Here is a 14190-nt window from a genome sequence, read left to right as displayed (position 1 = left end):
GCGTAGTGGCTCATGCCTATAATTCCAGCACTTTGGGAGGCTGAGGTGGGTGGATCACTTGAGGTCAGGAGTTTGAGACCAGCCTGACCAACATGGTGAAACGCTATCTCTACTAAAAATATAAAAATTAGCTGGGTGTCATGGCAGGCACCTGTAATCTCAGCTGCTCAGGAGGCTGAGGCATGAGAATCACTTTACCCTGGGAGGCGGAGGTTGTAGTGAGCTGAGATCGCGCCACTGCACTCCAGCCTGGGTGGCAGAGCGAGACCGTCTCAAAAACAAAAAACAAAAAGCCCAACATGCATTGCTAGTAAAATATGGAAAACATAGGAACAACAATGATAACAAAATAGCCAGGCAGGTATAGTATTAAAAGGAATCTCTAAATGGGGATTGCAACTCCCCATAGCATTCAATCAACAAACCACTGTTTTGGTTTCACCCCAGAGCCCTGCTATACTTAGAAGAGTTCTTGACACTTAATAGGTGGTCAAGAAATGAATGCATTAAATACTCTAGTATTTACTATTCTTTTCTTTAAGGTATCCAGGAGACTCATTATTAAACAGTCCCTCCATCTGTATTGGTTGGGATATTAAACAAAAATCGCTGACTGGCTGAAATGACATTAATACCTATTGCCTGTATATATCTTCTTCTGTTTTTAAGGCAGGAAGCATCTATTCATTTCTGCAACAACTTTTGTGTGGCCAATATGTTAGGTAAATGCCAGGTTCGAGAGACACTGTGCATTCTAGGCAGGAGGAAGGATATTCCAGGCAGAAGGGAGGGCTTTGCAAGAGCACAGAAATGCAAGACAGGTGCCTGTGGAGGTACCAGAGAGCCTTTATTTCCTTTATTACCCGCATCCTTGTGTCACCAGGTCCTCTCATTACGACAGCCTGTCTGTCACTAGAATCCGCCCGCTGCCCTTCATGCCCACCGCCACCACCCTGGACCACCCCAAGCCTGCAACGCCTTCCTGACTGGCTGTCCTTCCTTTTGCCCTGCCCCGTCTCCAGTCTGTGCTCTCTACACTCATCAGAATGAGGTTCTAGGCCAGGCACAATGGCTCACACTTATCATCTCAGCACTTTGAAATGCCGAGCTGGCAGGAGGAGGAAGAGGATCGCTTGAGCTCAGGAGTTTGAGACCAGCCTGGACAACATAATGAGACCCCATCTCTACTAAAAATTAAAAACAAAACAAAAAACAAATTAGCTGGGTGTGATGGTGCGTGCTTGTAGTCCCAGCTACTCAGGAAGTAAAGGTAGGAGAATCTCTTGAGCCTGAGACTGGGGCTGCAATGAGCTATGATTATGCCACTGCACACTAGCCTGGGTGACAGAGCAAGACCCTGTGTCAAAAAAAAAAAAAAAAAAAAGAAAAAGAAAAAGAAAAGAAAAAATGAGAATGAGGTTCTAAAATACAAAGCTGATGATGATCTGGACCTGCCAAGCCTTTATCTTCTGCCATCTGCTCCCACTGTACAATGCAGAAAAGTTTGTGGTCTGCACACATGCTGGGTTAGTTCCTGCCTCTGTGCCTGTGCTTTGCTCATTTCCCTGATAGAAAGCCCTTTCCTATCTTTGTCAACCTGGAAATCTCTTACTTCATTTGTAAAAACTCAGCTCAAAGATCACTTTCCTTAAAAAGCTTCCCTGGTTGCCATCCCCTCCCTCCCCCCACTCCCTGTACCCCAGAGTCATGCATTTGGATCTCAGGTAGCAGGAGGTCTCTTGCCTGGCTCTCAAGGGTTGGTGCTACCATTGCCTGTCAGTCATATCTTGTCCCTGGTGCACAGAGTGTTTGTAGCTGGCGGCCACAGATACCTCCCTCATCCATTGTGTCATACGTTTAGCTAGTGTTATATGTGTTTATTCCCAAACTTGTTTATTGCAGTTGTATGTATGTATCAGTATCAGGATTCTCTAGCGACTCAGAACCAATAGGATTTTTATGTGAGAGGATTTATTATGGGAATTGGCTTATGTGATTATGGAGGCCAAGAAGTCCCACCATCTGCCATCTGTGAGCTAGAGATCCAGAAAAGCTGGTGGTATGATTCAGTCTGAGGCTGAAGGCCTGAGAACTAGGGGTGTAAGTCCCAGAGTCCAAAGGCCTGAGAACCAGGAGCTCCGATACCTAAGGGCAGGAGAAGATGATGTCTCAGCTCAAGGAGAAAGAGAATGAGTCCTTCCTTTCGCCTTTCTGTTCTTGCCCTCTAAGGATTGGATGATCGTCTTCCACACTGACGAGGGTGGATCTTCCTTATTCAGTCCATGGATTCAAATGCTAATCTCTTTTGGAAACCCTCATAGGTACACCAAGAAATAATGTTCTACCAGCTATCTGAGCATCCCTGAGCCCAGTCAAGTTGACACACAAAATTGACCATCACAACTTACATGTAAGCTGATTATATGTGAATGTGAAAGGAGAGATAATAGTTTCTCTAAATCTAGGTTGGGTCCCTTGGAAAGCCACCAAGTTAAGTTTAGTCTATTAAAAATAATTGCCATTGAATTAAATGTGAGTGAGAATGCTGAAAGGATTGGGGGTTGGGGGAAGGAAGTATAAACATGAAGGATTCTTCACTCAGATGGCTTTGCAAGCATCTTTACTTTCTTTTACCTTCTCAGCCTGTGCTAGAGGGAATGACCCTGGGGATAGTGGCTGGGGCTTATGTGAGAGGAGATGCCATCCTTCAGCAGATCTGCACTCCAAGGAAAGGCTTTGGTCCTGTGTCAAAGGCTCATTAGTTCATTATTCAGGAGGCAGTGACTGGGGAACCCTGTGTATACCAGGCACAGTGATAGGAGACAGAAGCGAGCAAAGACTGCAGAATGAATGTCTAGTTACATATTTTAAGTTTGTATAGAAAGTTAAGGCTGGGCACGGTGACTCATGCTTGTAATCTCAGCACTTTGGGAGGCTGAGGTGGGAGGATCATTTGAGTCCAGGAGTTTGAGACCAGCCTGGGCAACATAGTGAGACCCCATCTTTACAAAAAAATTTAAAACTCAGCTGGGTGTGGTGGTGTGTACCTGTAGTCCCAGCTATTCAGGAGGCTGAGGTGGAAGGATCGCTTGAGCCCAGGAGGTCAAGGCTGCAGTGAGCTGTGATAATGCCACTGTACTCCACCTGGGCAACAGAGCAAGACCCTGTCTCAAAAAAAAAAAAAAAAAAAAAAAAAAGGTTAAAATGTGAGTGTATTTTTGTGTACTGGGTTGAAGAGTGTCCTCCCAAGATTCATGTCCACCCAGCACCTCAGAATATGTCCTTATTTGGAAATAGTCTTTGCAGATGCAATTAGTTAAGATAAGATGAGGTCACATTGGGCGGGGCACCGTTGCTCACAGTTGTAATCTCAGCACTTTGGGAGACTTGGAGATGGAAACCAGCCTGTCCAACATGGTGAAACCCCGTCTCTACAAAAAATACAAAAATTAGCAGGGCGTGGTGGCGCATGCCTGTAGTCCCACAGCTACATGGGAGGCTGAAGCAGGGGAATCGCCTGAACCCAGGAGGTGGAGGTTGTAGGGAGCGGAGACCACACCACTGCATTCCAGCCTGGGCGACAGGGTGAGACTTGGTCTCAAAACAAACAAACAAAATAAAAACCCAAACAAACAGATCAGGTCACACTGGATTAGAGTGGGCCCTAGATCCAGTACGACTGTGTCCTGGTAAGAAAGCCATGAGGGACAGACTCACACACATGCATACAGGGAAGACGGCCATGTCAAGATGGAGGCCGACATTGGAGTAATGCAGACGCAAGCCCGGGAGCTCAAGGGTTGCCGTCAGTCACCGGAAGCAAGGAAGGAGAATGGAACAGATTCTCTCTCAGCGCCTGCAGAAGGAACCAGTCCTGCAGATATCTTGATTTTGGACTTTTAACCTCAAGAACTGTGAGAGAAGACATTTTTGTTGTTGTAAGCCACCCAGCTTGTAATTTCTCACAGCAGCCCTAGGAAGCTCATGTGCGTTGTTTTATGATTCCCCACCTTTTGATGAATTAACAACCGTCCCCTGATCCTGATCATACAGGATAAGGATGCCTCTACCGTCTGCATCTCTGGCTGTTCTTGTCACATCTCCATTTGTTTTATTAAAACCATAAACTCTTGAATAATTTCTACATCATTTTGAATGTAATCAGAATTCTGAAATTATCAAAGGGAAAAAATAAAGGGCATTTGTGGAAAACAGTCACGTGCTTCTGAACATCGTGGATTTGGGGGTTTGACACAAGAGGAGCATGGAAATCAGTTCCTGTCAACCTCACTTTCAGCCACATAGTCTTGATAAATGTCCTCAAGAGATGTTTATTTTCTGGCATTTTTTGGATCTCCTCGTAGTAAGAAATCTCTGATGTTACCCACAAAACTACAGAATATTTAAACTAGAAAGGACATTGTTGTTAGGGAAATAATACAGAAAAAAAATCCGCCTGAAAATTGCATGTGATTCAGTTCTGTGATTACTGAGTGGCCCTACTATCTAGTTCTCGAAGGGTATGTTGTCTTTTTTTCTTTTTGTCATTATTAAGCAGTGTTATTTTTCCCTACCACCGTAAAGGCAGGCTGCCTCACTACCATAAATCCCTCTTCCTGGGTAATGTCAGTTAACATCCATGGAGAGTACATACCAACCTGAAATTGACAAAATGTTTTAAATCACAAATTGCCAGTTAGAGAGGTATTTTACCAGTGTTTATTCTCATTACAGGCATGCGAGCAAACCACAAGTTCATCAGAATGGAATTGATTTAACCCTACTATTGCAGTTGAAATATCTTGTTTCGGATTTTGTCAAGAGATAAAGTAGTATTTTGAAGTTGAACCTGGTGTTTTAAAGCAGCCTGATGTATAGCCATTCTCTTTTGAGCATGCATGCAAACCTAAATGTTTAGCATACTTTATTATGCCTTCAGAATAAGAGCACAGACAGGAATTGGATGGGATGGGATGAGGTTAGTGTTTGTGTTAAACAACGTGTGTGTGTGTGTGTGTGTGTGTGTTTAATTTTGGGGAACACATAAACTTGTATTTTAGATTATTCTGGGACTTGAAATTGTATTTTTCATTCCAAGAGTAATCAAGTTTTCATGGACTGGACTGGAATTAATGGTAAGGGAAACAAACAAGATACACTTTTATTGGTGCTGCTAATACAATTCATATCAATACATGCGGTGGTGAATGTCCTTTATGTTTTCTCTGTGGTGAATGTGGGCTGTTAAAAGCACTAGAATATTTCCTGTTCTCCTGGGGGAAGCTCAATGATTGCTTGTAATACAGCTGGTACTTAGTTCCTTTTAGGTTTGTGAGAGCAAACTGATTCTTCCTTTTTGCTCACAGAAGGGTGCAAATCGAGTTTTCTTTGGAGGGCCCCAGCAAGAACTCTTATTTCCTTTTGCCATGGTAGGCCAGATTCAGGCAGATAATTGCTCTCCCATCACGATTGCAGGTTGATTTGCCCACATGTTGTTGTAAACACTGTGAAATGAGAACTCTTATGTACTGCTAGTGGGAGTGTAAACTGGCATAACTCTTCTGGAAGGCAGTTTCACCATCAATTTCAAACAAGATTTTTTTTTTAAAGTTCATATCCTATGATAGGATAAATTCCTAGGAGTTAAATTACCATAAGGAAATCAAAATTTATTCATAAAGATGTTCAGCTGTTGTCAATAATGGTGATAAACCAGAAACATCCTAAATGGTCTAAAAGAGATGAATGATTAAATTATGGTGCTACTATGCCTCCATTGAAAATGATATTTTCAAAGACTATAAAAACCATAAGACAAATACATGTCCCAAGATTGCATTTTTCTTTTTAATGTGGACATGTATAGAAAAAGAGTGAAAGGAAATATTGAAAATGCGAAAGCAGTATTGGTGATTTTAATACTCATTCTACTCTTTTATATTACTATAATAGTGAGAGAAAATCCTGGAATTTTATTTAAATATATTTGCATGCGTGTTAAAAGGTTATGGTGCACTGAAGCTAGCAGAATTGGAACAACTGCTGTTTGTGTTCCTTGTTGCCTTAATTGGGTGTAATAGAAATATTACTTGCCTGTACCTCTTGCTAGCGATAGAGATCATTTGTCCTATTGTTCCGTGGACAGTGTTTTCCTCTGTTGGTTTATGACATCCTGGTCACTCCATCTGACCAGCCCAATATGTTCAAGTAATTGGGTTCCATAATAGGGAAAAAAAGAGGATATTTGCAAAGAGATTTCAAGATTTGTTTATTTCATGTTTCTTTTTCATGCTGCTGCCAGCTTTTCAATAACTAACACAGTCACTTGGAATTTAATTCTGCAGACATAAGTTATACCAAGTATATTCGAATATAGAGAATATTCAAATCGAGAATTGGTGATTTTGTTGTTGAGTGCCAAAATATAGAAGTTAAATTTTTGAAGAAATTAAAAGAGTAAAAGCTTTCCTACTCTAATTCACCCCTGGATGGTTCTGAATAGATACTAATGAACTCTGAAATGAGTCCAGAGGCGTGATCTCTGCCTTTAGTTGCATCCCTAGGAAGCCTGGTAGAACTATGTACTTCCTTTGCTGCAACTTCTGGAGTTGCTTATTTTCTCATGCTGACATAATTGATAAGAATTGGGAGCATTCCACTGAAGCTGTAATATCCTCCTCCTCCTCTGCAGTCATTCAGGGAGTGTGGGGAGGGTATAGGAGAGGCAGAAGCAATAGAGAGGTGAGGAAATGCTGCTTGAGCTTTCTCTGTCCCTCGCTACCAGGTCCGAGCTGCAGGTTGTACAAGTCACATTGTATCTTGGCACCCACTGGAGTTGTGCGAGATGGCAGTAGCGGTCTAGGTTGCTGTTGAGTGGAAGTTTGTTGAATCTGTATTCTCTTCCCCTGCCAAACTTCTTGCTTGCCTGACTTCCTGCTTTTCTACTGTCCAAGTACCACAAGTAGATTTTTATTATAAGCAAAGGAAGTAATAAAGATACGAAGTAGAGCCTTTTGGTTCTAAAATTACCTGTTGGGAGAACATCAGAGGCTTGAATGTCAGTTCATCTTGATGCTGGCCAGCCAGACGTGTGATTGGTTGGCTCTTCCGACACCAATAACCGATGTCTGGGTTATCTCATTGTCCCATCCTACCTTTACTGGGACATCAGAACTCTACCACTTTAGGTCCAAAGATTAAGGTAAAATAGGTAGGTTTTATTGAAATATTGCTCAAATCTAAGATTTTGTTTAATGTTTTAAAGATAAATTATTTTTGGTTAGGAGCTGATGTTGGGAATGAATGAATGAATGGGTACCACATCTGATGAATTGCCTAGAGTCTGTATCAGAAGGCAATAATGGGGGGTGCTGGCATTGTTCTAGCTTTCTTTTTACTTCAAACATATCTTCAGCTACCTGTTTTCTCTTAATTTTTCCTATTCTATTATATTTCATTGTCTAGTCTTGACTAATGATCTTAGTTTCAAGAAGAAACATAAGATTTTTCTTTGGCTTTTTTTAATAATGAAAAAAATGTATAGGACAATAGTAAAATAGCCCTACTTCATCCATGCTGGAGTCTATCCAACTCCAGGTTGGTCAGATGGTGGATCCTATGATTGGATCCTATGATTGACAAGTGCGTTTAAATCCAAGGTTGGAGAGGTGAAAATCTGAGTGAAGCTCAAGTTCGGAGGCCTCATAATTTTAAGGAAATTGTTGGGGCTGCATCAAGGAGCCATTTATGGATCTCCTCCTTTTTTTGTCCTTCCTGTGCTTTTAGTATGTTCTCCTGTACTGAGTTTTGTATTTTTTTGCAAAAAAAAAAAAAAAAAAAAAGAACATGAATTCCAATCATAAACCAATAAATGTGTTCTGAATTGTTTTATGATTTGATTGAAGTATGACATAGATGATACTTAAGTTTTATCTTAAGTCAGTAACTCTAAGGATTTGATTCTCAAGTCTTAGTAACTTGGGCGAAGTACATTTTCATATCAGATCTGTCCATAAGTTTAAATAAATTCATCAAATTAAAAAGTGTTCAGAGAGAACTTGTTTTGAGAAAGACAGTATGGTGCTTTTCCTTGCACTGCACAAAAGTAAGTATGTAGGAAGATTCTAAACTCCTTTTCCTTTTAGTTGCTTTTAGATCAGCATTTTTATAAGTTACTAGTTCATTGTGTTTTACAAACTCACTGTCATATGTGAGTATGTGAATTGTTTCTTTTTATTTAGATTGTTAAATTTAAATATTTAAATTAACTTCTTTAGATATTTAAAATGGAAGCAATATATTGTTGAAAGTATGGTCTAGATGATGTGGGACAACATTTTACCCATAGCTTCTATTTTTTTTTTTCTATAAAAAGGACATCTTTTCTGAGGAATGACAGTATGGCTTTTACATAGACCCAATGGTACAGATTTTATATTGAATAATTAGTATTTATTGACTTTGCTCTAGCTATTCAGTATTATGTATTGCATTTGTCTGGGTTCTCTGAAAAGCAGATGCCAAGTTGGAAACAGGCATGTAAGAGATTTGTTTGGTGAAATGCCTGCTAGGGAAATTGGAGAGGGAAATGGATGAGGCTGGAAAAGCCAACAGATTGAAATGCAGGTTTGCCTGAGAAGGAAAAAGGGAAGGAAGAGAAGAAAAAAGGTCTTGGATTGGAGTGCAGTTCTAAGACAGTTTTGGCAAATTCAGTAGAGTCCTTGAATGAGATAAAATTCTTGGACAGATGAGGATCACAGTTTGTAGGGAGGGGTCTGCCTAAGTGTCCCTACTGCACTCAGTCATAGCTGGGAGCAGCCTGAGGGAGGCATGGTGTCAGTGTGATCATGGGTAAAATCGCAGCAATGGGGCCAGCTCACTCCCACAGCACCAGATCTGAGAGGTACATTCTACGGCCACAGCACATGTAAATATCAGGCTACTAAATGTTTTGCTTAACGTGCGCCACCGAATCATGGAATACATTAGGTCTAACCCAAGATAGAGGAAAACAAATGTTCTTTTTCTACAGAGACAGAAAGATAGGCTAATACCATGACACGTCTTATCTCTTTATCAATTGAACATAGGAACTTACTTGGTTTGCAAATAGCATGGTTGGCACACTGGGCTTTGTATAAGGAAGGCTGGTTCCTAGAGGTTTTTTTTGTCATTCAGAAAGAGCAAAATGAGACAAAAAGGCTTTGGAAAGAAAACTCTTGTGCTTTGAAGGCCGTGTTTGGAAACTACCTTGAGTGTGATGCTTCGAGTGAATCTCTTTCCAGAAAAATAGCCCTCTTCATGTGTTACATGTTATGGGTCAGAAGTCTTGTTGTCAGGAGGGTGAGCTACAGTCTGGTCTAAAAAAGCTTTAATGTAGCCCTTATTACTAGGACCAAAACCTCATGCTTCTGCAAGAGCAATTTTGTTTTCAATATAAAAGAGCATGGTGTAAATGGGTGTCATCTGTGAGTACATCTTGCTACACTTGCCTCACCAGATCTGGTGGAGCAGATGACCTTCCTTTTCTTCTTTCACAGCCGAGTTCTCTTTCCCTCTCTCAGCCTCATGTACAACATTAGCAATCTTGTTTCAAATAATGAACGCTGGCCATTGGGCTGTAAGATAGAAAGATATTGCAAATAAGATATAAATTTGGGTAATAGTGGTAAGATTTCAAAGGGTATTTGTTGATACTTTCTTTAAAATAGTTTATCTTATTTACATATATTTATAGTTGAAAATGTATCCTCATTATTTTCAAGAGGTGGAAAATGGGAATTAGGATGAGAGGAATGAGACAAGAAAATAGACTCACAGAGAAGTGGATGAGTGTCGTTGACAACATCGGATGTGGCCTAAAAGTGGTTTGTATTATTGAGTTGTAAGAGTGTTTTTATATAGACTAGTAAAGTCCCGTATCAGATATATGGTTTGCAAATATTTTCTTGCATTCCTTGAAATATCTTTTCACTTTCTTGGGTGATGTGTGTCCTTCGAAGCACAAACATTTAAATTCTAATGATATTCATTTAATCTACTTTTTCTTTTATTGTTTGTGCTTTTGGAAACCAGTGCGTAACCTGAAGTCACAAAGATTTATACTTACGTTTTCTTCTAAGGGTTCTCTTGTTTTAGCTCTTAGATCTAGGTCTTTGATCCATTTTGAATTGATTTTTCTGTTCTTTCATGTGTACATCTCATTGTCCCAATACCATTTGTTAAAAAGACTCTTCTTCCCCTCATTAAGATACCTTGGCAGCCTTGTTGACACTGGTGCCACTTCTCAGGCAAATTTTTATTTGATGGCTTTTTCCAAATTAAAGTTGGTATTATTGTTGGCCAATAAATGGTTTATTTACAGGCAGCTGCATTTTACAAATGTATCTTCTACTTTATGCCTTTTATAGAACAAAGCATAGTAGAGCATTTTTAGATGAAGGAGCCCGTGTATCTGTCTATCCAGGTGGAATCAGGGCACTGGATTGTGTATCTCCCAAACCAGCTCTTCTCACGTTTTAATGAGTGGAATTCCCTGGCAATCTTGTTAAAATGCAGATTCTTAGGTGGGCATGGTTGCTCACACCTGTAATCCCAGCACTTTCGGAGGCTCATGTGGGAGGATCACTTGAGCTCATGTTCGAGACCAGCTGGGGCAACAGAGTAAGACCCAGTCTCTACAAAAAATACAAAAATTAGCCGGGCGCGATGGTATATACCTGTAATCCCAACTACTTGGGAGGCTGAGGTGAGAGGATTGCTTGAGCCCAGGAGGTCGAGGCCACAGTGAGCCATGTTTATGCCACTGCACTCCACCCTGGGCAACAGAGTGAAAAAAAAATGCAGATTCTCATTTTCTAGGTCTGGAATGGAGTCTGCATTTCCAACTAGCTCCTGGGCATGCTGATGGTGCTGGTCCAGGAGCTACACCAAGTAATGGCACAAGAGTGTCTAATGTGATCTTCTTATTCAGTGTTGTTATATCTATCTATGTAAAGTGATTTCGAAGGGAAATAAAAATGGTTTATTTCAAATTCATTATTTTTCTATTTTATTTAATAAACTTCGAGATGAAAAAACCACCATCCAGAAAAATAGAATGAAAGTTTCTTTCCAACGGCTGTATTAGTCCGTTCTCATGCTGCTAAATAAAGACATACCCAAGACTCGGTAATTTATAAAGGAAAGAGGTTTAATTGAATCACAGTTCCTCATGGCTGAGGAGGCCTCAGGAAACTTACAATCATGGCGGAAGGAGAAGCAAACATGGCTTTCTTCACATGGCAGCAGCAAGGAGAACTGCAGAGTGAAGGGAGAGGGGGAAGCCCCTTATAAAACCATCAGGTCTTGTGAGAACTCACTCACTATCACGAGAACAGCATGGAGGTAACTGCCCCCATGATTCAATTACCTCCCATTTGGTCCCTCCCACGACATGTGGGGATTATGGGAACTACAATTCAAGATGAGATTTGGGTGGGGGCACAGCCAGACCACATCAATGGCCTTCTTGCCAATCTTGATTATTTTCTGTCTTCCTTCCAGGCCTCTGATGATTGTCACTCAGAAGATCACAACCTTGGCATTCCAGGTTCATGATGGTAAGAACAGCAGCCCTCCTTTTGGTTCTCAGAGTGAGCCTGACATGCAGAGCTCTTCTTTTTATACTATGTACACAGTCCAAAGTTTAGACAAATGCTGGCAGATCTTGCTTTATCTTGTTCAAAATTTCCAGGCCTCGGCAATCATAGCCTTTCACTTTTCCAGCCATGATTCACCATTTTCCTGCAGAATCGGCAGTCTAAATTTGCTGACGTATTTGTACTGAGAACTCTGTGTTTTCTGTTTATCTTTACAATGTTTTAAATTTAAGTTAATTTGTGACACTCTCTGCCCTTTGTTTTCAAATCTGTTAAAAAGAAATGACATCCTTTTAGCTTTGGTTTAATCTCTGAGAAGCTCACAAGCTAATGAAAGATTAAATAGTATTGGCTGGTTAATCATTTTTAAATGCTAGGTTGGTTTTTGTTTGTTTTTTTTTTTGGCTTGGAAAATTATCTAATGATAATTCCCTATAAAAAGCTGGGAAAGGGGCCAGGCACGGTGGCTCACACCTGTAATCCCAGCACTTTGGGAGGCCGAGGTGGGCAGATCACGAGGTCAGTAGTTCGAGATCAGCCTGACCAACATGATGAAACCCCCGTCTCTACTAAAAATACAAAAATTAGCTAGGCGTGGTGGCACATGCCTGTAATCCCAGCAACTTAGGAGGCTGAGGCAGGAGAATCGCTTGAACCCGGGAGGCAGAGGTTGCAGTGAGCCGAGATCGCGCCACTGCACTCCAGCCTGGGTGACAGAGCGAGACTCCATAACAACAACAACAACAACAACAACAAAGCTGGGAAAAGGAAGAATCTTCTGTTTGTATAAAACTGAACATTTTCTTCACTCAGGCACTGCCTAAAAATGGCCAGAAAGTGTGATTTACATTGTTCAAACTGGGTTCCAAGAAAAGGAGGAAGATTATTTCAGCTGGGCGGAAGATTTCAATATGGGCTTTGGAGAGGCCAGGTGCAATTAGTAAAAGTATATTCTGTGGATTTGTACTGCTCTAACAAGCACTTTTTGACTGACTTTTTTTTAAATGTTGAGAGGTTGAAATTTATCTCTGACAGCTAGTTTCCTTATTTTTCCTTAAAGCTTGTGAACTGATTTAATTTCATTTGACCCAGTGTATCCCTAGTTCATACTTGGTGATTTAGTCATTCTGTAGAGAACCAGGTAGTTTTATACCAAGGATGGAGTCTTTCTAGGGTAAACAACTGTCCTGGTTTGCCCAGTACTAAAAGGTTTCACAAGATGTGACTTTCAGTGCCAAAATCAGAGAGTCCGGAGCAAAGCAGGGTGAGTTAGTTACTCTATTTGTAGCTGGAAAGTCCCCTTGGTAGTGGTTATAGACATTAGCAACTGAAATCAATAGCCAAAATCAGTTTAATTTCTAGGATTGCCAGCGATTACTATTTGATGAGATCTTATAAAAATGAGTTTTTAAAAACACTGCTTCTTTTTTCTTTTTAAGCAGCTTCGTTGCCTAAATTTACTTTTTAAAGCATTCTCAGTTTACCATATTTCCTGGAACATCCCTTAAATGCAGCAAAATGTTTACTCGCCTTTTTTTTTTTTCCTGGTGTGTGGGAGGAACGAGTAAATTCCAGAAATATTCTGCCTCCTCTTAGGCATGATTTTGAATTGCCTTCATGGTTGATGACCCTACTCAGCCTTAGCTGAATATACAGTTTTAGAGTTGACATATTGCTTTTAAGATAATACTTCAGCTTCTTTGACTCTAAGTTAGTGTGTACATTTCACAGAAAGCATGGATGTGACTTGGTTGGGAGTTTTTCTGATTCGGACGAATGATAAAAAGAAGAAAACTCTGATAATTTCTTTGTAATTTTCCCACAATTAAGATTACATTTCCCCCATTTTATTTTTTATTTTTTATTGTTCTGGAAGAGGAAAGTCTCCTGTTTCTTTTTCCATTATGTCCCACAACCAGGCTCTCAGCTTGTAGTAAGTGTCTGCACCTAGTGCAGCCAGGGAGGTATTTAAGCTGTGGCAGCCTGTGAAAGGCAAGATGCTCTCTCTGATGTATCAGGGAAGACATATACAAAGTGGCAAGGAACTCCCAGATGCACCAGATGGGGAGGGTTCTCTGGGATCCATGTCATACTGTACAGTTTAAGTAGGAGAAACCTTTGAGTCCTTCCCCTCTCCATGTGAACCTACAGAGACTTTGCTTCTCACACGTGTACTTATGGGTAGCTCTTTTGGTCCAGGGCATTAAAAAAAAATGAAAAACAGGAACTCTTTATGATTTATGAAGCAAACAAAGATTACCTGGTTCAAATGACTTTGATAAGACCCTTTTATAATTTGTCATCTAATTCACTTCAAACATCTTATTTCTAAATTCTTTTCTTTTTCATAGGATTAGGTCGAAGAGCTGAAGACCTTTCTGCTGAACAACATCGACTTGCTATCAAGTAAGTGAAGTGTAACGATATATTAACAAGCCCTTTGCATATCAGTATCTAGAGATTTTCCTCATTTAAAAATATCTACACATTAATTCTGTTCTATGGATATAATATCATTTATTTTATGAATCTGCTATTGATGGACATGTGC

General features: G+C 40.4%; 1 protein-coding gene across 5 annotated transcripts in view; it reads left to right on the top strand.

Annotated features, from left to right (window-relative positions):
* The window catches only part of MBOAT1 (membrane bound glycerophospholipid O-acyltransferase 1), a 112786-nt gene that overhangs the window by 69726 nt on the left and 28870 nt on the right, over nt 1-14190 (top strand). For 4 of the 5 annotated variants that reach the window (NM_001080480.3, XM_006714999.3, XM_011514313.4 and 1 more), the window contains exons 5-6: nt 11545-11600; nt 13991-14045. In NM_001080480.3, the coding sequence (NP_001073949.1) occupies nt 11545-11600; nt 13991-14045 (111 nt within the window). The remainder of the gene's footprint in view (nt 1-11544; nt 11601-13990; nt 14046-14190) is intronic. The other variant, NR_073465.2, reaches the window with a different exon arrangement.

The sequence above is a fragment of the Homo sapiens genome, chromosome 6, assembly GCF_000001405.40.
Source record: "Homo sapiens chromosome 6, GRCh38.p14 Primary Assembly".
NCBI classification, from domain to species: Eukaryota; Metazoa; Chordata; class Mammalia; order Primates; family Hominidae; genus Homo; species Homo sapiens.
Note: the sequence above shows the minus strand (reverse complement) of the source record. Positions and strands in the feature narration are given on the sequence as shown.